This window comes from Homo sapiens, chromosome 2 (genome assembly GCF_000001405.40).
Source record: "Homo sapiens chromosome 2, GRCh38.p14 Primary Assembly".
In the NCBI taxonomy this organism is placed as follows: domain Eukaryota; kingdom Metazoa; phylum Chordata; class Mammalia; order Primates; family Hominidae; genus Homo; species Homo sapiens.
Window position 1 is genome coordinate 2247102 of NC_000002.12, and position 26468 is coordinate 2273569.

The window sequence follows — 26468 nt, forward strand, 5'->3', positions numbered from 1 at the left end:
ATGGATGGAAAAACAAGACCCAACGATCTGTTCCCTACAAGAAACTTTACCTATAAAGATACATAGGGAGTGAAAATAAAGGGATAAAAAATGATATTTCATTCAATGGAAATGAAAAAAGCAGGAGTAGCTATACTTATGTAAGACAAAATATATTTCAAGACAAAAACTGTAAGAGACAAAAAAGATCATTATGTAATGATAAAGGGGTCAATTCAGCAAGATGATATAAGAATTGCATATATATATGCTCCCAACACTGGAGTATCCAGATATATAAAGCAAATATTATTAGAGCGAAAGAGACAGATAGACCTCAGTGCAACAATAGCTGGAGACTTCAACACCCCACTTTCAGCATTGGACAGATCTCCCAGGCCGAAAATTAACAAAGCAACATTTGATTTAATCTGTATTATAGAACAAAATGGACCTAATAGATATTTAAAGAACATTGAATGGCTACAGAATACACATTATTTTCTTCAGCACATGGATCATTCTCAAGGACAGATCATATGTTAGGTCAAAAAACGAGTCTTAAAACATTCAAAAAATTGAAATAATATCAAGCATCTTCTCTGATCACAATGGAATAAAACTAGAAATTATTAACATGAATAATTTTAGAATTTCCATGAATTTTACAAATACATAGAAATTAAACAGCATGTTCCTGAATGTCCAATGAGTCAGTAAAGAAATTCAGAAGAAAATTGGAAACTTTCTTGAAACAAATGATAATGGAAACACAACATACCGAAACCTATGGAATACAGTGAAAGCAGTACTAAGAGGGAAATTTATAGCTGTAAGTGCTTACATCGAAAAAGAAGAAAAACTTCAAATAAATAACCAATAATGCATCTTAAATAACTAAAAAAGCAACAGCAAACCAACCCAAAACTTAGTAGAAGAAAATAAATAATAAAGATAAAAGCAGAAATACATGAATTTGAAATGAATAAAACAATACAAAAGATCAATGAAACTGTTTTTTTAAAAAGGTAAACAAAACTGACAACCTTTAGCCAGATTAAGCAAAAAAGAGAGAAGACTCAAATAAATTTAAAAAAAAAGGAATGAAAAAGGAGTTATTACAACTTATATCACATATATTCAAAGCATCATTAATGGCTACTATGAGCAACTATATACCAATAAATTGGAAAATCTAGAAGAAGTTGATAAATTCCTAGACACATGCAACCTACCAAGATTGAACCATGAAGAAATAAAAAACCTAAACAGACCCATAACAAGTAATGAGATAAAAGCCGTAGTAAAAAGTCTAGTAAAGAAAAGCCCAGGACCCAATGGCTTCACTGCTGAATTCTACCAAGCATTTAAAGAAGAACCAAAACCAATCCTACTCTAACTGTTTGAAAAAATAGAGGAAAAGGGAATACTTCCAAACTCCTTCTATGAGGCCAGTATTACCCTGACAACACCACCAAAGACACATCAAATAAAGAAAAATACAGGCCAATATGTCTGATAAATATTGATGCAAAAATCCTCAAAAAATATTAGCACACTGAATTCAACAATACATTTAGAAGATCATTCATTATGACCCAGCGAAATTTATCCCAGGATTGCAAGGATGGTTCAACATTTACAAATCAATCAGTGTCATACACAATATCCATAGAATGAAGGACAAAAACCATATAATCATTTCAATTGATGCTGAAAAAGCATGTGATAAAGTTCAACATCGCTTTATGATAAAATCCCTCAAAAAACTGGGTATAGAAATAACATATTCAACATAAGAAAAGCCATGTATGACAGACTCACAGCTAGTATCATACTGAGTGAAAAGCCAAAGACTTTTCTCTTAGATCTGAACATGACAAAGATGCCCACTGTCACTGTTGTTATTCAAGATAGTACTGAAAGTCCCAGCCAGAGCAACCAGACAAAGGGAAGAAATAAAGGGCATTCAAATTGGAAAGGAAGAAGTAAAGTAATTCTTGTTTGCAGATGATATGATCTTATATTTGGAAAAAAACTAAAGATTACACCAAAAAATGATTAGAACTAATAAATTTAAAAAATAAATTTTGCAGGATACAAAATTAACATACACAAATAAGTTGCATTTTTATATGTCAATGCTAAACAATCCAAAAAAGAAAAAAAAGAAAAGTAATCCCACTCACTGTAGCCACAAATAAAAACAAATACCTAGGAATAAACCAAACCAAAGAAGTGAAATATCTCTATAATGAAGACCATGAAATAGCAATGAAATAAATTGAAGAGGATACAAAAAAATAAAAAGACATTCAATGTTCATGAACTGGAAGAATCAATATTGTTATAATGTTGATGCTACCCAAAGCAATCTACAGATTCAATGCAATCTCTATTAAAATATCAATGACATTCTTCACCAAAATAGAAAAAAAAATCAAATAAAAATGAATTAAAGGCTTAAATGTAAGACCTCAAACTATGAAAGCACTATAGGAAAACATTGGATAAACTCTCCAGGACATTGATCTGGGCAGATTTCTTGAGTAATACCCCACAAACACAAGCAACCAAAGCAAAAATGGACAAATGGAATCACATCAAGTAAAAAAGCTTCTTCACAGCAAAGGAAACAATCAACAAAGTGAAGAGACAACCTACAGAAAGGGAGAAAATATTTGCAAACTACCCATCTGACAAGAGATCAATAACCAGAACATATATAAAGCTCAAACAACTTTATAAAAAAAACTAATAATTTGATTAAAAAATGGGCAAAAGATTTGAATAGACATTTCTCAAAAGACATACAAATATCAAACAGGCATATGAAAAGGTGTTCAACATTACTGATTATCAGAGAAATGCAAATCAAAGCTACAATGAGATATCATCTCACCCCAGTTACAACGGCTTCTATCCAAAAGACAGGCAATAACAAATGCTGGATAGAATGTTGAGAAAAGGGAACCCTTATATACTCTTAGTGGAAATGTAAATTAGTACAACCACTATAGAGAACAGTTTGAAAGTTTCTGAAAAAAATAAAAATAGAGCTACCATAAAATTCAGCACTCCCATTGCTAGTTATACACTTAAAGGAAATCAGGTAATTGAAGAGATCTCTGCACTCCCATGTTTGCTGAAGCTCTGTTCACAGCAGCCAATGTTTGGAAGCAACCTAAGTGTCCATCAACAGATGAATGGATAAAAAAGTGTGGTGCATATACACAATGGAGTATTATTCAGCCATAAAAAATGAGATTCTGCCATTTGCACCAAAATGCAACTGGAAATTATTATGTTAAAAGCAATAAGCCAGGCACAGAAAGACAAACATTACATATTCTCACTTATTTGTCAGATCTAAGAATCAAAACAATTGAACTCATGAAGATAGAAAATAGAAGGAATGTTACCAGAGGCTGGGACAGTAGTAAGGGGCCAGGCGGGGAAGTGGGGATGGTGAAAGGGTACAAAAAAAAAAAAAAAGGACAAATAAGGCCTAGTTATTTGATAGCACAACAAAGAGACTATAGTCAATAATAATTTAATTGTACACATAAAAATAAAAGAGTATAGTTGGATTGTTTGTAACACAAAGAATGCTTGAGGGGATGGATACCCAATTCTCCATGATTTGATTATTACACATTGCATGCCTGTACCAAAATATCTCTTGTACATCATAAATATATATACCTACCATGTACCCACAAGAACTAAAAAGGAAATTGAGAAAAAGAAAAATTCAGCCAGCATAATTTATCCATTGAATGTATTCTAGTTATTCTCTTTAAAGATCCTACTCTTTAAATATATAAAGAAAAAAATTAATTATAGCATGATTTATAATTAAAAAATGTTTAAAATTAGAAAATGTTAAATAGATTATGATCAGTTCTGCAAACAAAATATTTTGCCGACTTAATGTTTACCTGGAACTTTAATGGCATGAAAAATGTTCATAATGTAAGGTGAAGTATCAAATCTTATTAAATGTTAATGTATATGATAAAAGCTATTACCTCTCATCGTGGAATTAGATCATTCTGTCCTTCAGGATACATTTTTAAGGCACATATCCTCAATCCTCATTTACAGGTATGTTGTGAAATTAGAGGTGATTTATTTTTCTCTTATAATTTTCTTTACTTTCTTTAATTTGCTTACAATGAGCCCATATTCCTTTTATTATTAGTAAGATAACAAGATAAACTACTGTATAATGACCTAGACGTGGAGATACGTCCGCTGCAGCCCAGGCTTCACTCTCCTGCCCTTGCAAGTGGTATCACTCCACCAGTTCTTTCAGGGTTTCCGCCCGTGAATGCCATCACCAATGCTGTCCGCCCACGCCACGCTTCCAGGTGCAGAAACCTGGCATGACAGGACTGTACCCCCCACCTCCTGCCCCACTCCAGCTGACTTGTACCCTCACACCCTGTTTTTATGAAGCGCTATTATTCCAAGGAATGCACCCAGTAGGCACCTGGACATTGAGGAAGTACATAAGCCAGCAAACCAAGTGTGCTGTGTTTATTAACACCAGGTAAATTCAGTTTTCACTAGGTTATTCCAAGCTACTAGTTGACAGTTGATGCAATGACAATAGATCTATTACAGGATCTGAAAGCTCTAATATATCTGTTTTGAAAAATGCCTTATTCTCAAAGAAAATTTACCCACAACTAATACAAGAGCATCATTTGAGCATCTAATAAGGGCCAGGTTCAATATGGGAAAAGAAAAAAAAAGGAAGGAAGGAAGGGAGGGAGGAGGAAGGGAAGGAGAAAGAAAGAAGAACGAAAAGAAAGAAAGAAAAGAAAAAGAAAGAAAGAAAGAAGAAAAGAAAAGAAAAAAAGGGAACGGCAAGGCAAGGCAGGCAATGGGGAACACAGCAGGCATCTAAAAAATATAAAAGATGAAATGAGATTTACCTGAAGTTACCTAAATTTTGGCCAGGGGAAAATGTAAACTAAAATTCAGCTGTCCTTGTTACCGAATTCTCCATTCCTCCTCTCAAGTGTTCCAGTGGTGGAGAGAAGACAGGCTCTCTCTGCTGCCCTGTCTCAGCCAACTTTCCTGGCTTCGTTCTCAAGGAGGGTGTCCAAATGGTCTGACCCAAGCTCCTCTCTCCTGTCCTGCCTCTGCTTACCTCTGTTTGTCCCGACTACCCTTTTAACTTTAAAATTCCCCCTGAATACCAGCCCATGCTTCAGGTTCCAGGCTAAGATTCAGCCCTCCCATGGCCTCTTTCTGAACCCAGGAAACCTCTCGGGATCTCAGCTCCAGCCCTGGTCTGTGTCTGGGCATGAGTCCACACTGCCCACCACAAGCTGTTCTTCCTATTGAGCTGCAGGGACGGATGCTGGCTCCTCCATTCTGCAATCCAGGAGGGACTCAGGGATGGCTCCTCAGAGGGATCAGTGCAGAAACTGCTCTTGCATACAGCAGAATTCTTATTTTAATTCTATAACAGATTTCTAAATTCTTGAATATAAAAGCAACTATAACACCACAGGTGTGTGTTGCTGGTAGATGGGCGGGGTGTTGAAGGGGGAAGACAGCAGCAGGGAGGGCCCGGCATGCAAAGCTCCCCTGTCCCCACCACCAAAGACCACATCTCCAAGGCTAAAGGAAAGAGGCCATCGTCTTCTTCATCTGTCCTCACCTCCCCCACGAAAAGCATCCCTGGGTGTGCTCAGTGGGGTGCTATATGTCTTCTAAAATGCCTTCCCCTCTTTCTTCCCCCTTATGTGAATTTTTCTAGAACATTCTGGGGCCTATAACTTTGTAAACAAGATCATTCTCTCCTTCAGGACACCTTTTTAGGGCATGTATCCTGAATCCTCATTTACATCTACAGTCAAGGAAGTAAAATTTTTTTTAAAAAAATAAACCAAATTTCTATCCCTCACTTGAAAGCCTTTATTTTCAGTTAAGGTCTTAGGCAAGTTTTTCTGCAAAATTTTAGAGTCAATCAAAGAGAAGAACATATAAAAATAATGTGGCTTTTGCTATTGTGGCACCTTTGAAAAAGAAAAAAAGAATTTAAAAAAAAAAGAAAAAAAGAGAAGGAAACATCATTGATCACCAGGACACCTGTGAGCCGGAGCGGGCTCCACTGTCCAGCCTGGTCTCCATTCCAGCTGCAGCTTTTGCTGCCCCCCTCGCAGGAGCCTCCCTTCTCTGGGAACAGGGCTCGCTGGCTTCCACACAGTGACTTCGCCTTGAAGGTGCTGAGGAGAGCGTTAGGCGCTTTCTCTACTCTTCCACCTTTGGCTGAGTCAGCATATGAAATTTCTGGATAATAGTCCACACAGAGCATTGCTCAGCGGGAAATCTCAGTAATGGCGTGGCCCAGAGTCACTGACTGATAATGTCTTCACTTCTAATGCTCTATAGGGGGAAGGGGGATGCAGTTAAAAGGAAGGATTGGGAACGTGTTTGTAAAAACGAGTGCCAAGAAGGGCATGCAAAGTAAAACACAGGATCACGGAAGAGAAATGCACCAAGGAGGCTGAGAGCTGAGAGGAGAAAAAACTCCCAGTTCATGTGCAGGAAGCAGGGCAGGAGAGCAAGTGGGAAACAAGAAGCAGGGCAGGAGAGCAAGTCGGAAACAGGAAGCGGGGCAGGAGGGCAAGTCGGAAACAGGAAGCGGGGCAGGAGGGCAAGTCGGAAACAGGAAGCGGGGCAGGAGGGCAAGTCGGAAACAGGAAGCGGGGCAGGAGAGCAAGTCGGAATTTCCCGGAAACAATCATTCCAGCCACTGCCACTCTCCTAAGGTCTGCCTTCAGCGAGACTGTGAATTAACTTTCATCCTAAGCTTATTTAAAACATGTTTTAGATGAAAAGATTACATAGTTTGGGAAAAATGCTCCAAAATATACATAAAGACACACATATATGCACCCCCAGCACACTATGTATAAAAGATAACTAAAACCGAAGGCTCCCTGTGATAAGTGTGAAAGGAATGTTGTGCACCGTGGCCGTGGCGTTACTCACAGAATTCTGCACTGTGCATTGTGTGTATCCCAAAGAGTATATGGTACCTTTTGCAGATTTGCAACATATAAGGTTTTGCATAAGAGTTTGCATATATTTGTCCAATGCACATATAAGTAAGCAAATAATCTACTTTTATATGAGATTCAATTAATGCCGTTCATGGGGAAAATCTTCAACAATGACTGCAGATCAGACCTGGATTCGGGATTTAGAGTCGAACTCCATCAATCCATGAAGGAAGCAGAGGCCCTGGGAGGGGAACAACTCATTCAGCAGCTACAGGATCTCCGGGAGGCCTGGGGGCTGGGCTGCACCTCAGGAGACTGTGATGGGACATTGATGTGGGCATTTTCCAGAGGCGCTGGAGCTGCTGAGAGAAGGGACTCTAGAGCTGCATTGCCGTGGTGGCCTCCATGCTCCTGTCTCCTTATCTGCACAGTGGTTGTTGTGAAGATTAGACAGATTCAGACATGTATGTTTCTTACAGCACTGGCTGCCACATAGATCAATAAATCTTAGCTATTATTAGTACTTAGTATTTTGTTTTAAACACCCTGAAAAAGCCATATAGATACAGAATGGCAAAGTTCCACAGAAAGATGCGAAATGTTCATTTTTTTTCTAATGAAAGTGCTTATTGTCATCTCCTCTTTCCATTTTTACTTAATTGAACTTTAATCTTCATCACAAGAATCACAGCTTGTCCTTCTGACCAAGAAAATTGTCCTCCAACTGATCTACCATACAGCCCCAACTACTTCCCATTTTTTATTTTATTCCCCTCTTCCCCAAACTTTTACTACAAGGAAATGATCTATATTTTTTCTCGACTTCTATAATATACATGTGCCATATTCTTTCCTACATAAATATTTCCAGTTTATTTTTTGTTTTTATGATATTTAACCCATCTGCCTCCAGGAAATATTTGAAGTGATTTAAAATAAAAGACATGTGAATGTTTAATAGTTAATAAAAATAGGCCAAAGGGAAGGGTCTATGGAAAGAGATAATTTTATAGAAAATAAATAGTCTTGTGATTTTAAATGTTTTGTTTTCCTAAATGTAGGAAGTGATCCTCTTTCTCCACCGAACACCATTTATGGTTCATCCTGCAGCTCCCCGTCCTGACAGCCTTTCTGGGCTGCCCGATTACAGGGTGATTTCTTACCCCCCTAAATTTCCAACACACACTCATTACCCTTCCATCTATGTCACGCAATATATCAGGAGGATATTGGGGGGGTTGTTAGTTTTTAAGCACAAGCCTCATCTTCCTGCTCAGCCCTAAGCCTCCTCACATACAAGTCTTTTGCCCCAGAAAAGGGTAACGGTTGCCCTCAGAGCATCAGAGCAGCTGCAAACCCACCTAGAAGGGAGGGGAGAAAGGAGCCACACGGTGAAATCATTCTACGATTTTCACTGGAAATTCAAATTACTCTGGAAACGATATTTACATCAGCCCTTATTTGCAACTGGATTTTCAAAATATTTGAATAATTTTCTAAAAATATGAATCACTTGAACATAAAACATTTACAGAATGAAGGCTGGGCCGTCATCCTGTTTTTAGCTATTTGTCGCACATACCCGTGTGGATGCCTGCAGTGACAGGTACAGAAGCCGTCTTCATCCTCATCACACCCATGACCATATTAGACTGGCTGTTGTGAAACAAAGCAAGCTCTGGAGGCCGTTTCTAGTCCCGCTGCTTTCTGCCCCATCACGGATATTGTCTTTCATCTGGGATAAGAGCAGTAACAGCTTATACCTATTAGGGGCCAGTTGAAGTGATGAAAGTTGTGAACACCTTACCCTTTACTGAGTCTGAATTAATTCATGGCAACAGCCTTGCTTTGCTCCCTGGTACTTTTCTGCAGCTACCAAGTCTCATTAAATAGGGAGCCATAGCGGGGTAAAAGGACAACTTGTTTTCTAAAGAGAAGGTCCACCTGACCTTGCCACAGGTGGAGATTACTGTTAATCACCTCTGTAACCATCTTCACTCGCGTCGGGCCAAAACAAGACCCCCGGTGAATAGACAGAGGCTCCGGGCTGTAGATGTGAGCACAGTGTTCTCAGTGCTGACATGGCACGCTGCTCAAAGAGGCGTGAGGCCAAACTGGTCCGCAGGCCGAGGCCAGTGTGGGCACCATCAGCAACTTGAAAGGCCACACCTGAAAGGTAAAACTATTGATCCAGTGAGCAGCTTAGGCTTTCTTAGGAAAGTGAATAAGGGTTTCAGATCAGCAGTTGTCCAACTGTGGCCACAGGTCTAATTCAGGTGCCACCTATTTTTATAAATAAGGGGTTTTAAAACACAACCATATCCTCACAATTCCGTATTATCTATGCTGCTTAGCGCTACAGCAGCAGAATGGAGTAGTGGGAACAGGAACCATCTGGCTCTAAGGTCAAACATATTTACTATCTGCCTTTTAAGGATAAAGTTTGTCAACTACTGTTTTCCACCATTTCTCTGGAAACAGAAATCCAAAGAGATGCTATAACCTTTAGAACATTGTGCAGAGGGAATTCGAAGAAACTGAGTGCAGGACAATAAGCAGCATTTGGGAATCGTGTGACAGTACAAAATGCTCCTTTTTTAAAAGCGAGAGCACTAATTGCACTATATGGCCAGGTAATGCTGACATAAACATCCAAAGCCGTCATAAGAAGCAAAGGCATAGCAGTCACTATGTCAGCAGTGACAAATGGGCTGAGGATTGATACAGGGGAAGTGCAAAGCAAATGTCTGCTACTCATGTCTGTTCACATGTATGAGAGTGTGCATGTGTGTGTAAATGCCATTCATATAGCCACACAGACACACAGGCACTTATAAACATGTGTGTAGTCATACATACATAGGTTGCTGCCTCCTTGAAGTTACTGAAAAACAGATTTTCAATGTTCCCCTTGCTTCACCTGGAGAGCTTAGTGAACTATGCATTCCTGTGCCCCACCCCCAGAGTTTCCAATTCTGTGGAATTGGAATGGGGTCCAGAACGTCCTTGTCTAAGAAGCCCAGCTGATGCTCCTGTGGCTGATCAGGGCACCCCACTGAGAACACTACTTGAGAGAATAATCGCCATTCCCGAATTAGTAGGACCCTCTGGATACCTCCTGTGGAGTGAAAATTAATTCAGGTGAAACACACAGCCCCTGCAATTTGCTATTATGACTTTGAACTTGGGGCTCATATTGGAAATGACTGACGGTTTTCTCTATCGATGATGTCTTAATGCCCTGGGATTGTTTTTCCAGGTTGGAGCCATAAGGACCTTGAAAGATCCAATCTTGGCTGCGGTGGCTTATGCCTGTAATCTCAGCACTTTGGGAGGCTGAAGCGGTTGGATCACGAGGTCAAGGATGAGGAGAGATGCCATTCAAGGAACAGAAAACCTTACCAGACAGGAAAAGTAAGTCCTGGAGCTCTAACGCACAGCATGGTGACTATGGTAAATAGCACTGTATCGTCTATTTGAAATTTGCTAAGAGAGTAGCCTCAAGGGTTCTCATCACTAACTTTTTAAAAATGGAACTATGTAAGTTGGATTCCTAGGTATTTTATTCTCTTTGAGGCAAGGATGTGAAGGACCTCTTCAAGGAGAACTACAAACCACTGCTCAAGGAAATAAAAGAGGACACAAACAAATGGAAGAACATTCCATGCTCCTGGGTAGGAAGAATCAATATCGTGAAAATGGCCATACTGCCCAAGGTAATCTACAGATTCAATGCCATCCCCATCAAGCTACCAATGACTTTCTTCACAGAATTGGAAAAAACTACTTTAAAGTTCATATGGAACCAAAAAAGAGCCCGCATCGCCAAGTCAATCCTAAGCCAAAAGAACAAAGCTGGAGGCATCACACTACCTGACTTCAAACTATACTACAGGGCTACAGTAACCAAAACAGCATGGTACTGGTACCAAAACAGAGATATAGATCAATGGAACAGAACAGAGCCCTCAGAAATAATGCCGCATATCTACAACTATCTGATCTTTGACAAACCTGAGAAAAACAAGCAATGGGGAAAGGATTCCCTATTTAATAAATGGTGCTGGGAAAACTGGCTAGCCATATGTAGAAAGCTGAAACTGGATCCCTTCCTTACACCTTATACAAAAATCAATTCAAGATGGATTAAAGATTTAAACGTTAGACCTAAAACCATAAAAACCCTAGAAGAAAACCTAGGCATTACCATTCAGGACATAGGCGTGGGCAAGGACTTCATGTCCAAAACACCAAAAGCAATGGCAACAAAAGCCAAAATTGACAAATGGGATCTAATTAAACTAAAGAGCTTCTGCACAGCAAAAGAAACTACCATCAGAGTGAACAGGCAACCTACAACATGGGAGAAAATTTTCGCAACCTACTCATCTGACAAAGGGCTAATATCCAGAATCTACAATGAACTCAAACAAATCTACAAGAAAAAAACAAACAACCCCATCAAAAAGTGGGCAAAGGACATGAACAGACACTTCTCAAAAGAAGACATTTATGCAGCCAAAAAACACATGAAGAAATGCTCATCATCACTGGCCATCAGAGAAATGCAAATCAAAACCACTATGAGATATCATCTCACACCAGTTAGAATGGCAATCATTAAAAAGTCAGGAAACAACAGGTGCTGGAGAGGATGTGGAGAAATAGGAACACTTTTACACTGTTGGTGGGACTGTAAACTAGTTCAACCATTGTGGAAGTCAGTGTGGCGATTCCTCAGGGATCTAGAACTAGAAATACCATTTGACCCAGCCATCCCATTACTGGGTATATACCCAAAGGACTATAAATCATGCTGCTATAAAGACACATGCACACGTATGTTTATTGCAGCACTATTCACAATAGCAAAGACTTGGAACCAACCCAAATGTCCAACAATGATAGACTGGATTAAGAAAATGTGGCACATATACACCATGGAATACTATGCAGCCATAAAAAATGATGAGTTCATGTCCTTTGTAGGGACATGGATGAAATTGGAAACCATCATTCTCAGTAAACTATCGCAAGAACAAAAAACCAAACACCGCATATTCTCACTCATAGGTGGGAATTGAACAATGAGATCACATGGACACAGGAAGGGGAATATCACACTCTGGGGACTGTGGTGGGGTCGGGGGAGGGGGGAGGGATAGCATTGGGAGATATACCTAATGCTAGATGACACGTTAGTGGGTGCAGCGCACCAGCATGGCACATGTATACATATGTAACTAACCTGCACAATGTGCACATGTACCCTAAAACTTAGAGTATAATAAAAAAAAAAACATTAAAAAAAAAAATGGAACTATGTGAGGTGATAGATGTATTAGTTAGCTTGATTGTGGTATCCTTTCCTAATGTATATATATATCACATCATCACATTGTGTATCTTAAATACATATAGTTTTTATTTGTCAATTATATTTTAAAAGAGCTGAAAAAAAATCAGGAATATGTCCCCAAAGTGAAAATTGTGACCTGAAAATCTCCAAATCTTTAGGATTAATGGGAAAATTAAAATCACATTCTGACTGACCCTCGTCTTATAGAAAATGTGGCTAGTATCGATCCATTCCAGGGAGTGCTAATCCCCCTGGGATGGATGTCAAGGTACGGGTCATCCCGACGGCAGATGGGCTTCAGGATTGGGAATCCTGGGTTGGAGCCCTGTCAATGTGTGTCGCTGGCCAGGTGTGCTAGGTCACATTGTTTAACCTTCCCGAGCTCCAGTTTATTTCATATAGAAAGAAAAAGATGTGCACAGCACTGGCCAGGGGTTCTGTGAAGACACAGTAGCCTAATGTATGTGAAAAATGTTTCAGAAACAGTCAAGCTCCTTCACATGGCTCTTCCACTGCAGCCTCCCCAGCCCAGGCTCTGACAATGAGCAGGCGCTCATTTTACACACGTCTTGACATTAGCGTGGCCTGGCTCCCTCTAAACAAGATCAGAGTATCCACGCCATTCCTTAGTGTTTTCAGATGCACTCACCGAGCACGGAGATTACATTACAGAGAGAAACAGGATTCACAATGCGTGATGAGATTTTACACCTGGCTCCCCGCTGACTGATGTGTGATGCTGAAAAATTATTGGCTAACACTGTCTGTGCCTCCGTGACCCCATCTGTGAAATGGGCATTGGAGTAATAAAACTTGACAAAACTTTCCTGAGGATCAAATGAGAAAAGTTTTGTGAATAGAACTTCAAAATTGTAAAGGCATATACAGACTTCGTGCCTATTATTATACAACAACTCTAAGAATTTTTACTGTATCTCAAGTGAAAATGACAGGTTTGACTGAAGAACCATAGTGATAAACCAGAAACTGAATGCTGTGCTTGTGAGTTACTATTTCACAACTTCTAGAACCATTCATACTTCTAATTTTGCAAGGCTGATAGCAGAACTATCACCTACTTCAGCCTAAGTCATCTGTATCCTGCTGGAGCAACTTTGAAATTTCTTTCTTTCGACCTTTCTGTTTTACGTATTTTTTTCTATCTTACAGAAGCTTACTTTGCTGGTGAATTATTTTTTTTTTGTTATATTATACTGAGACTCTGCTTTATTAAAATTTCCTAAAAGAATTTTCCCTAGATTTCCTTTATTTTTATTATCTTCCTCTTTGCAATTGGAATATATTTCCCAGCCCATGTGGCACAATCACCTGCAGGGTGTCTTCAGAATCGGACACTCAGCTGGCTGCTCATCGGTGACCTGGCCTGGTGAGGAGGGTGATGATTTCTCTGTTTTGTTGTCATGGTAATGTCTTCCGGGACAATGCTCCTAGCATTTCTCTTGGGAAATTCTGCCAGATTCTGAAACACACTACTCTCAGGAGCCTGTCCTTGATACTTTGTTAACGGTGTTATTTATCAGATTACTCAGAGATTGAGCACCAACAAATCCTGTCTCAGGAAGTCTTGGTTAGGCAACATTTGCCTCAGTCCATTGCCCCATGCTCAACTCACCCTACCGCCCTTCCTCCCTGCTGGGGTGCATGTGTGTGTGAGTGCGTGTGTGTGTGTGTGTGTGTGTGTGTATGTGTTTCCAACATGTGTCTACAATAGAATCTCCAACTTTTTTGTTTCACAATTTCTTTGCATTTTGTTGTTCTTACCATCAAGTCAAACCAGAAAACTACATTTCTATTGCACTTATACACTATGTCTTTTGATATTGTTGTTCAGTTGCATTATAAATCTGATTACAGTCTTTTAGACAAATCGGAAATGAAGAAAGAATATTATAAATTAGGAACATAACTATATCATCTGCTAATGTTAAATAGACACAAAATTATCTGAATGGAACTAAGAAGATAATTAACAAACCCCTGGGATAGCCACAGCATTAGTCCTCCCCCCTGTTAGGTAGGAAACAGAATTATCTTCCATTGCCAAGTCCTCAAAACTTCTATCAATAGGGAGTTGGCAGGTGAGATGTTCAGATTTGGCTAATGAGGCAAATAGCAGAATCTGGCAAAAAATGCATTTATGTTAGAAGTCAAAAAGAAATAAGTAAGAGAGTGGTGCAGATACAAAAACAACGTCCACAATTGAAAATAATACATTTGTGGAGATCTTCAGACCATTAAAATGTTAGGCAGTGGCCTAATGATGATGTGCTTCTCGTAAATGGAGACTGAAAGTAAAGCCTAAGTCAGGGAATTTGTGCTTGTGATTATTAGAACAGTTTCTGGAGCCAGCCAGGAAGGAGGACATACACTAGGAACATCCTTCATTTCTTAAAAGAATAAAAATAAACTTAAAAAATACACAGGGAAACAAATTGTTGGAATGAGATAAAACTTTAATACTTAATGTTTCCCAAAAAGGTAATATTAAATTTAAAAAGTGCATGATAAAATGAACCCAACTCAAATTAGAGTCATGGACATTCTATGATCCATGGGTGCAATTGAGACACCCCTTAACATAACTTCAGGAGTCTGGAGTTTTTGTGTATTTTTTACATTTTTTCAGTGTTGAATCCCAACAGCTAGAATAGTGTCTGACACATTGCAGGCACTAAATAAATATTTGTGAAGTAGGTAAATAATCAACTTTGGGGAAGAATAATGAATGAATGAATGTGTGTTTTATCTATTTCTTAAGTTCTCTTTCTGGAATTATTTATAAAATATCCAATTTTGCCATAATATCCTATCAAGCAAAATACTTCCACAAATAATTATGATTCCTTCCAGCCTGGGTGACAGAGAAAGACTCCGTCTCAAAACAAACAAACAAACAAACAACAACAAAAAAAAACCAAATAATTAGGCAGGGCGCGGTGGCTCACGCCTGTAATCCCAGCACTTTGGGAGGCCGAGGCAGGCGGATCACAAGGTCAGGAGGTCGAGACCATCCAGGCTAACACAGTGAAACCCCGTCTCTACTAAAACTACAAAAAAATTAGCCGGGCATGGTGGCGGGCACCTGTGGTCCCAGCTACTCAGGAGGCTGAGGCAGCAGAATGGCATGAACCCAGGAGGCAGAGCTTGCAGTGAGCCAAGATCGTGCCACTGCACTCCAGCCTGGGTGACAGAGCAAGACTCCATCTCAAAAAAAAAAAAAAAAATTATGATTCCTGCAGCTATAACATCTGACCTGTCTTTGCAGCTGGTTGGAGCTTTTCTAGCCCGCCCAAAGTCCAAATGACTTCTGTCCAATTCCAAATAAAGACATGTGTTTCAAAGCACAGCATTTTTCTTTCGTAGATTATGTTATGAACAGTGATTTATTTGGAAAGAATTTTGATGTTTTTACCCCAGGTGAGAGGCACAAATATATATATATATATAACCTGTGATATATATATATATATCACAGGTAATAAACATCTAGGTCTTCATTGGAGGAAACAAAATAGCATAAAGTGAACATATAAAATATTTTTCCCAAAAGGCAGGGCAAAAAACACAAACAAAATTTCCAGATATAAAACACATTGAAACTAATAACTTTAAAAAGAGAACTATCATTGCCCTTGGAGAAGGTAGTCATATTTAATTCTTCCCTGAATGACAACATGCAACTTCCTTTTTTGATGAATTAATTGATTAGGATTCCCATAAACAGTCTTCTTTCAGCATTTGTGAAAATCGTGCATTTATAATCACTTTGAAAATGGAAGAGAAGGGGAACCCTACTGGCAGAGAGCGAGGAGGGCCAATCACCTCCCAGCTCCAGGGTTAACGACGCCCTCTGCTTACATCCCAGAAACAAGGGGTGCTGCACATATGCAAAACCCGGTCGCAGAATGTATTGCCTGATGAAGGAAACAATTCCAATGCATAAATCAATAAATGCCTGAACCGTGTGGCGCAGATGACCTTTTGGATGTGAGTGTGAACTATATTCCTAAAAAGGCCTTTTGCACACAGATACCAAGCAAGACAAGGGACTAACAGAGCATAACTGGTGCTGGGGTTTGCAGCAGTGCCCGTTGCTGCTGCCCTCCTCTGCCTTTACTTACAGCACCTGTCAGCTGATGCAGCTCACGCCCCAGGATCCTGGCAGGTGGCACAGAAGAGGCCCTTTTCCCCTCTGGCTGAGTTCATCCTGATATGACTTTGGCCTCTTGTTCACGACTAGACCTTTCAGGATCCTCAGACGCTCCTGGCATCTGGGAGCTGCTAGTTGGAGGGGCCAGTGACTGTACCCATTTGCTGGACGTCAAGCATGATGTTTGCATCTTGGGTTCCCTATGTGATTTCACCCTTGCAGCAATTTTGCAAGGTGAGTTTTATATCTGTTTCTCACTTTAAAAAATTGGGGTAACAAATCTGCACATTGTGCACATGTACCTAGAACTCAAAGTATAATTTTAAAAAATCCTATAAAGAATGGACCGCTAATACTTAAGTGATAATAATACTGTAATAATAAAAATCTTGCATTTATAGAAAAAGAAATTGGGGCTCAGGAAAGTTAACTTGCTGGGCCAAACATCCATGGTGGCAGGGTTAGAATTTGAACCTTGACTGACCCTGAAGCCCAAGTTCCTTCCAGCACAGCATCTGAATTAAGCCTGGCAGTTTTAGCATCATTCACTTACTCTGTGTTTCTGGATCTCTATCTCATGCAAGTCTGACTGGCAAGGACTATGCATCTCCTGAGACCCAGGGTCTCTGCTTCCCACTAATCCACAGCCCAGCGTGGAACCCTAAGAGGCCCTGGGTCTGATGCCTTTTTCTTTATTTGTGCGTATACAGAACCTCATGACATCAGTAGAAATAGCATGCTCTGATTACTCCCCCAAACCCCACCCCCAAAAAAAATCCCAGAATAATACTCAAATTTGCAAAGAATCATACTTCCTAAGTTACTTTATATAGGAATGAAAGTTAAAAAATAGGTCATAGTGAAGCATTCACACAACCTAATAATCTTAATCAGCTGAGCAGAACAGTAAGGCACTAATTCTGCGGGGTTGGCTTCGATGGACTTCAGGTTCTGTGCAACGCTGGCCCAAGCTGCTCAGAGCCATGGTGCTCAGCGGAGTGTGTACACTCCTCCTGTGGGCTGAGGACGCGCCACGGTCCCAGCACAGCACAGTGCATGCTGTGAAACTAAGACTTGAACGTCAGTGGAAGGTCAGTGCTGAAGCTGAGTCCAAGCGGCCACGAATCGTAAAAATGTCCAGAGGAATTCAGCACTCCTCTAGGAGAATTATGCAACAGGAAAACCCAATGGACCCAAATCAATTCAGCAACTTTTTTTAAAAGCACTTCTCATGGCAAAATACCAGAATGAATGTTAAAGGGGATGCAAAGCCGAGAAAAGGAGTGAGTAAGTAAAAGCACAACATTTGGAGGCAGCGAGACTTGGGTTCAAATTCCTGCTCTATAACTTACTGGTCAGAACATCTTGAGCAACTAAAATTCAGTCTTTTTTAATTTTTTTTTTTTTTTGAGATGGAGTTTTGCTCTTGTCACCCAGCCTGGAGTGCAGTGGTGTGATAATGGCTCACTGCAACATTTGCCTCCTGGGTTCAAGAAATTCTCCTGCCTCAGCCTCCCAAGTAGCTGGGATTACAGGCACCTGGCTAATTTTTTTGTAATTTTAGTAGAGATGGGGTTGGCCAGGCTGGTCTTGAACACCTAACCTCAGGTGATCCACCCGCCTCGGTCTCCCAAAGTGTTGGGATTACAGGCTTGAGCCACCGCGCCTGGCCCATCCTTTTTTTTTTTCCTTTTTTTAAATGATAATAATGACATCTACCTTTTAAGGTTGTCATTAGAGTTAAATAAGATTATGTAAGTGAAACAGTTGGTACATAGCCTGTGTGGCATATTTAATAAATGATAACTTTATTATTTTAATAAGTGCGAGTCCTTGAGCTCAAAGAGCTGCAGCCAGTGGCATGTGAAAGAGAACACAGTGAGAACTAGACAGTGGGTACAGAGGGGACCAGGCGGGCCTTCCTCCCGAGTCTAATTGGGATTTGGGATGATGTCGGATGGTGCACCCGCGGCATGGGAAGAACTTCATTGTTTAAGAGCATGGGCCTTGAGGTTGTGACCGTGAGAAAGATTATTTAATCTTTTGGTAACATTTCCTTGTCTATAAAATATGGATATTTTATATGGTTTTGGTAAGCATGAAGTTCAATAATCCAAATACATGAAGAGAAGTTCACGGTACATAGCAAGTAATGGAGACATTTACGTTTGACAATGACAATGATGGAAAAGAAGGGCAGAGCCTTGAGGCTGATGGGATCTGGGGCCCTAAGGAGGCATGGATGGAGGGAGGAAAACACTGAAGGCTGTGAGCTGTGAAGGTGCTGCCTGGGGAGAGGTTTTCTAAGCAATGCTAAGCAGGACTGGAGGTGGCTTAGCCTCCCATAGAGGTTAGAAACAGAATAGCTCCGGGTGCAGGTCTGCGGGGGCAATCAGCAGCTGGGCAAATGCAGCACAGCCCTTCACAGCCTGCTGATGCTGCAAGAGACATTCTGGGAGTTTCACAAGTATGACCTCATTCAGTCTTCACAATAGCTCTACGAGGCAGGTTCTATCTCCATTTTATAGGTTAATAAGGTGACTCTCAAGGAAGCGAATAACTCCATGCAGCTCCAAATTGACTCATGGTACAGCAAGGCTTTTAGCTAAGATCTACCGGACTTCACTGCCCCTGCCTTTCCCAAAATATGACATTGCTCCCCTTGGGAATACTCATTCCTTGTGCAATGGAAACTGATGGAATTTGCATCAGGAGCAGTGGCTGGTTTCACATGACAAGACCTCAATATTCACACAAACTGTGCAGTGAGGATGGGAGTGCCTAAGTCCCAAAAGGGCTTTTCTGGATTTGTGTGGAAGCCACAAAGGCCCAAAGTAGTAAAAATATTGATGGGGGTGGGGTGGGGTGAGGGACCACAGCATTTCGCAGTGGCTCCATGTGCTACATTACCCTGGCTGGAACCAGTTAGGATATTTAGGATGGCACAGGAGCAGGGAGTGGGCCAGGGTGTTGTTACAGGAAGGAGGGATAGTGATGATATGGTTTGGCTGTGTCCCCACCCAAATCTCATCTTGAATTGTAGCTCCCATAACTCCCACATGTTGTGGGAGGGACCTGGTGAGAGATAATTGAAACATGGGGGCAGTTTCCCCCATACTGTTCTTGTGGTAGAATAAGTCTCATGAGATCTCACGGTTTTATAAGGGCTTTCCCCTTTTGCTTGCCTCTCCTTCTCTTGTCTGCTGTCATGTAAGATGTGACTTTGCTTCTCCCTTGCCTTCTGCCATGATTGTGAGGCCTCCCACGTGGAACTGTGATTCCATTAAAGCTCTTTCCTTTATAAATTACCCAGTCTCGAGCGTCTTCGTTAGCAGCATGAGAACAGACTAATACAGCCAGCAAGCTAAGGAGTACGTGGAGAGTGCTTCAGCACAGGGAGGATGGGTCCTACGGCCATGGTGAACCAGAGCAAGCCAGGTGGGGAAACTGAGCCAGGAGGCGAATAGAAAGTGTGCAGATGCTGTAGGGGCAGGGCGTGCCTGGGAGCAGCTGACGTCTGGGCAAATGGTACCCTGAAACACAAAGTCTGAGAAGAGTGTTTGAGAAAAGGAGCAACAGCCCTGTGCTAGCTGCTGCTTCACAGATGGCACGTGGGGCAGACTTTGGCCTCGCAGTCTCCCTTACCCTCACAGGAAGCTCAAGCACAGGGGCCTCGCCCTCACTTCCATGGGGAAACTGAAACTCAGAGAGGTGGAGTGAATTCCGAAGATCCCCAAACAGGTAAAAAGCGGAGCAGAGTGTAAACCCACATGAAGGCGTCAAAGTGCACGCTTTAGTATGTTCTAGAAAGAAAATTGGAGGCTGTATAAGAAGCGGATGTGGCGATACACCATACTGGGGGAAATGAGGGGGATGAAACCTAATAAAGGAATGGACAGAAAAAAAATGCCCCAGATGGAAGCAACAGGATTTCCTAAATGGCTGGGTTTTAGGAGAAGGGGACAGGGAAGGCCGAGGTTGCCCTGCAGTTCACCGCTTGGTGGGCTGAAGTGGGAAGGTGCAACCAGCTAGCATGAACTCAGATGAAAGAAGAGACCCAGTGTGGTCAGGGTGTGCTGAGCTCAAGGAACGCAGGGGCATCGAAGGAGAAATATCCTGCAAGGAGGTGCCTGGATCCGTCAAGCTACAGTCAGGGATGTGAAATTCGGCTGTGAAGATGAGAGTTAAAATCATGGAATGGACACCATCCTTAAGGCAAGTATGTCAAATAAGAAAAAAAAAACCAAGGACAGAGGCTTCAGAACCACATCCTAAGCTCCCACACCACTCAAGTTCCTTTAAGGTCACGCATCCAATACCCGCTTTGCATGTCTAACTTCAACATTCATTGAAGATTTACTCTTCTAATCAGTATTAATAAAAGATGAGATTCGGGGGGATAGCAGATGGGAATTCCAAAATGCTAGAAACAGACTTATAAGATAAGATAGAGTTTAAAACAAGGTCATTTTCCAATTCCATGCAAGCCCACATCCATTTGATGCATGTACTTGTAGACTTTGGATAGAAGGATTTATTTCCTGAGTCGTAAATAATCAATAAGGTTTTCTGTCATTGTTAACTAGGCATGAGGGCTAATGAAAAGTATGGAAATAATAGAGTAATTTACCTCTATAATACAGAAATTTACTTTTCACACATTTTACTCTTAATAATCAGTGAGATGAGGGGCATCATTCTTTGTAAATTTGCACATCAACATGGGGGAACAGAGTGGAAAAGAGAGAAGACATGTAAAGTGCAAAACAGCTATGATTAAAATGCAAAATATTTTATTTTAAGGTCAGTTTTTCCACATTTAGACCACAAATAGCCTATGAAAATTATTCATAAATTTCTTATCCTAAAAATAGTAATACGTATAACAAAAGTTGCTGTTTAACATTAAACAATCAGAAAAAATGTTTGAAAACTTTTTTGGCCTGAGTAATAAACTCACAAATAGAAATCAATGGTAAGAAAGTTCAACTGGAAAACCACGCCAGGAAATCTGCAAGAGGAGCTCCATTTTTCATTAATTTCCAATATATAACAAGCTGCTCTCACTGGTGTGTGTTTTCGGCTTGAAGATAACCCGCGGCAGTTGTTAACCCTGAGCTGCCTTCCGTTTACAGAACCTTGACAACATCCCTGCCTCGAAATCAAGAATCACATGTTTAGGGAATTCAAACTCATTTAGTTATTAGCCTAAGTAAAATATTATTATGAAGATAAATCTGTAGGGAAGAGGGAAAAACCCAAACAAGCCATTCACAAGGCAAATAGAAATGCCACTTTGATTAACTCGTGTTTTAGTGCACACCTGAGCAGGTGTCTCTTTGCGGACATTATTATATGGTGCACCCAAGCATTCGGGGCGATGTGTAGATTTGTAGCTGTGTTTCTCTTCCATCAGCCCAGTCTCCTGTGTGTGGGGTGCACCCAGGCCTGGGCTGGGGCTCAGTGATCAGGGCCTCCCAAGGCCATCTATCGCTCAACACTTTCTAAATTATCTGGAGATAAAGGGTGAGGATTTTTAAAGATTCCCACACACTTATTTTAGACTAATTGTTTTATAAGATAACTTACAATACTTTTTGGAAATGGCCATGCCCTTGAATTTGTATTGAGATCAAATTGTTACAGAAGCTTCTGTATTCTCAGGCTGTGCGCTTCTCTGGACATGGTGGTTTACAAAGACCTTGTGGCCCTGCTCAACTGCAGCCCACATTCTGAGCAGCACCGCAATAGCATCTCTCAGTGTCTTTGCTCTCTTACAAAATGGGGGCACACTTGCCATCTCATGAAGGTTGTGAAGGTTACAGGAGGTAACGGATGTGAGTGCTTTATATGCAGGCAGCTTTTAGGTCATTGCTGCTAGCCTGGTTCCCTTGCTGACTCCCATCCTACTTCTGCCTTGCATTCTCTCCACATGCTCTTCCCTCCAAGCTGTCATAGAGATTCCCAAAAGATTCAGCTTTGGAAGCCAAGTGCCATCTGCCATTGGTGAGCCCAGTAATCTCCAGTAGCCCCTGGATTTGTGCTCCCCGGCAAGCCCTCACAGCTCAGCCTGGTATCAAGGCTCTCACGTCTTGCTTAACATCTTGACCCTTTTCTTCTCTATAGTGCCTTCTGCCTGAACGTCTTTCCTCCAATCAAGAAGGCAGAATCACAGTGGGTCCATTTGCATAAATTCAATCCTCTTTGATTCTCCCAGCCAGAATTATGTCTTGCTATTCCCAAATCATACAGTCCTTTATCTCTGCCTCCAAATCTATTCATGACTTCTGATCTAATATTAGAAAGCACATATACAACATAGCACATGGGCTGTGGACTAATGTTTGTGTCTCTCCACAATTCGTATCTTGAGCCTGATGTGATGGTGTCAGGAGGTGGGTGGGGCGTGTGGAGAGTCATTAGGTCAAGAGCGTGGCGTCTTCATGAAGGGACTGGTGTCCTTTTAAGAAGGAAGAGAGAGCCAGCTCTGCATCTTCACCTTGTGGGGATGTGGCCAGAAGAGACTGTCTGCAACCCAGGGAGGGAGCCCTCGCCACACACCAGATGTGCAGGCACCTTAGTCTGGACTTCGGAGCCTCCAGAACTATGAGAATTGATGCCTGTTGTTTAAGCCGTCTGGTAGTTGGTGCCTTGTGGCAGCAGCCTGGGCAGCCTCACACAATGTTTGTAGACAGCAATGGACTGAGAGCTGCCTGCATCTGCCTCATCACATTCCTTTAGTCATGAGCTTGCTGTCTTGTCCAGTCACATGAAATAATTTATCCCCTTTGCAAATCTATCTGTGAGTCTCTACCATGTGCCAGATAGAGGGATGGATGAAGAGGGACAGAAGGGAATGATCTGTCACTGAATCAGAGGTCTGTTCCACTTGAGATTTGCCCCCAAAAATGACACACGAGCAATGAAAAAATTACAGCCAATCCGAGCAATGAAAAAATTACAGCCAATCCAAGCAATGAAAAAATTACAGCCAATCTCCCTAATTGGTACTCAATGTATTCAGGGATTCTTTAAGTGTGGCCATAAAAGGACATTAAGGACAATACATAATCAAGCAAAAGTAGTTAATAAAGAAAGTACAGCACAGTCTCTGCCTGCCCTGGTGCTCCTGCCCCAGCTCAGTCAGGATGCCGTGCCCCCTCCCAGCCAGTTTGAGGCTGCAGAGATGTCACCGAGACTGAGCAAAGCAGTGCCGGGCATCCTGCTCATCATGACCTTCCTCTTTAAAAATCGGCTGACGCTGACTCTTGTTTCATTTCTTTTCCCTTCCTGGTCATGTTGTCGAGTTTATTATGTCAGAATGTACAAACTCCTTACCCGTGTCAAGGATGTGGTTGCGTGTTCTTCGCTTCCTCCTTCCGGGGAGCATGCCGCGGCCTTGCTGGCTCGAGAGGTCCCGTGTCTGTGTGTGTACACATGTGTTTACGGATTCTCACCATGAATCACGTCTGCAGTGAAGGGTTCTGACATCTAGCAAGGAACTGACAAGTAACCCTTTTGTTTTTCTCTGTCTCAACAGTCTGGCCAGGTCACAGGGGGACACAGTGCCAACAACATGGATTTTTAAATTAGAATTTGAGGAGCTCCCCGCAGGCATACTGGCTCAGTTGCCCACACAGTCCAAGAACACCCACCTGAGGAAGGCTTTATGGAGCTCTCTCATTTTGTTTATTCCAGTTAATGAAAGACAATTCTTACATTCCTAAAACAATGTTCACACACATCAGCCATGATGTGATATGATAAAGGATGGCTTAAAAAGCTCCCACCCCATTCGAATGGTGGGAATTTACACTGCAGGTCAGTTTGTCTTTAAATGCAGATCTGTCTGCACGTCTCCTAGAGGGAACAAACAGAGCCTGCCAGCCAGATGGCCTCTCTGAGCCAAGGCGCTGAGGTCATCTGGTGGTTCTGGGAGTCAGCTGGGGCTGCCATACAAAGTGCCATAGGTCAGTGTTTAAACAACAGAAATCATTTCCTCACAGTTCTAGAAGGAGGAAGTGCAACATCGAGGAGCCAGAAAGTTTGGTTTCTAGCGAGGGCCTGCATCCTGGCTGTCAAATGGCCACACTCGCCCTGTCCTCACTCTGGCATTGCTGAGTCTTCTCACAAAAATGCCAGCTCCCTGGACAAGGATGCCATGCCCATGACCTCATTCCACCCCAACGACATCCTTGGGTTTGAATTTTGGAGGGACACACAGTTCAGCCCATAATAGCGGTGTTTTTACTAGGTGGGTGGATCAATGGTAGATCTTCAAAGGGAGATATCAGAATTCAAATAAATTTAGAGGCTGGGAAAATTGTCTTCATGATTCATTCTGCCTGTCGCTGTTAGACACTCACAGGCTACACGGCTGCCTGAACTCTGCATCCTGGCGAGGCCTCGCCCCACCCAGCAATCCCACCAGCAGCAGTAATGCCCTCCTGCCCTGCCTGAAGCTAAAGACGACAGTCACCCTTATTGCCCAGCTCTCTTCCCTCCTGCCCTGCCTGAAGCCGAAGATGACAGGCACCCTTATTGCCCAGCTCTCTTCCCTCCTGCCCTGCCTGAAGTCAAAGACGACAGGCACCCTTATTGCCCAGCTCTCTTCCCAACACTGCTGGGTTCCAGCCCTGTCATCGTCCACTCCTGGCACCACCTGACCTCCCATGTTCTCTGGGCCTCTAGGACACTCATGGCAGGCTCTCCCTGGCCTCACCCTGCCCCCGCCCTCGCTGAGCCCTGGTGCTCTCAGAGGTGCTGCCTGCCCAAGGGGTGGGTGTCTTCCCTTTACTGCTACTTCTCCATCTCATTTCTTTGCTTAAAAAAAGTAATGGTCAGATCTCAAACTATAAGAAAAGAGTAGAAAACAAAACAAACTGGCCTCTCAGGGGAATACACTTTAGTGTGTGCATGTTAGTGAGTTCCGACAGGAACAAAATAAACAGCTTCTGCCTCGACTCCTTCAACAATATCATCTCCAGCATAGGTCTCTTCTCTGAACTCCTGAAGCCCATATTCAACTACGAATTTCTCCATTAGATGAAAAGCAGGCGTCTTGGCTTAACCTGTCTAAACTGATCTCTGGATGTCCCTCCCAAGGGCTTCCCTGCCAGTCTTTCTAGTTGAGCAAATGGCACTTTCATTCCATTGGCTGCTCGGAGGAACTCTTGGAAGTCACCCTTGATGCTTCTTTCTCACACCCCATGACAACTGGGTCAGGAAATCCTGCTGGCCCTGCACCTCCAGGGCGTCCAGGTGTCTCCCATCTCCACCCCTGGTGCCCCAGCTTCTTGCCTGTGCCCCTGCAGCCCCTGGCTCCCTTCTCTCCACTCCAGCTCCTTCTCCACCTGCAGTGGAGGGATCCTGGGACAGTGTCAGTCCCAGGAGCTCTCAGGGGCCTGTGCCTTCCGGGCCCCTTGCTGTCTCTCACGGAATCCAAAGCCTGGCTTTGTGTCCACATGCCCCCAGCGGGCTGTATCCTGCCCCCTGCCACAATTCTGGACTCTTCCCTGGTGACGCTCCTCCTCATTCCTCTGCTGGGGCACCAATGGCCTATTTACTATCGCAGGACCTTTCGGCCCTGGTCCTGCCTTCAGCCATTGAGAAAAACACTAAATAGTGAGGGAGAAGAAAAACAAAATGAGTAAGAACAAGGATTTTCCTTAAGGATTAAAACACATCTAGAAATGACCCCTGATAAATGAGATGTTTGGAAACAACAGAGACCAATACAGAAAGTGGGTGGCCATGGAGAAGTCTCAAATTCCATCATGTTCCTGTAGGACTGGGGCTATGGTTTGGTAGCTTTTTAAATGTATCATGCCAGGAAGATTTAAATGTTCTACCTCCCCAGATAGTAATCCTCCTAAGGACCAGTCTTTGGCCTGGTCGCCCAGCCAAAGCCAGTGTCTGGAGGGAATGGGAAGCC

General features: G+C 42.1%; 1 protein-coding gene across 31 annotated transcripts in view, besides 2 other annotated features; it reads right to left on the reverse strand.

The window, feature by feature from the left end:
* MYT1L (myelin transcription factor 1 like) overlaps window positions 1-26468 on the reverse strand; it is a 542163-nt gene that overhangs the window by 457989 nt on the left and 57706 nt on the right. The window lies entirely within an intron of this gene.
* Window positions 1611-2146: an enhancer, noted in NCBI's record as "NANOG hESC enhancer chr2:2252484-2253019 (GRCh37/hg19 assembly coordinates)". NCBI's record gives its function as "activates a minimal SCP1, AML or CMV promoter by ChIP-STARR-seq in primed H9 embryonic stem cells {active_cell/tissue: H9 hESC(primed)}" and the evidence as "EXISTENCE:reporter gene assay evidence [ECO:0000049][PMID:30033119]".
* Window positions 25760-26391: an enhancer, noted in NCBI's record as "H3K4me1 hESC enhancer chr2:2276633-2277264 (GRCh37/hg19 assembly coordinates)". NCBI's record gives its function as "activates a minimal SCP1, AML or CMV promoter by ChIP-STARR-seq in naive H9 embryonic stem cells {active_cell/tissue: H9 hESC(naive)}" and the evidence as "EXISTENCE:reporter gene assay evidence [ECO:0000049][PMID:30033119]".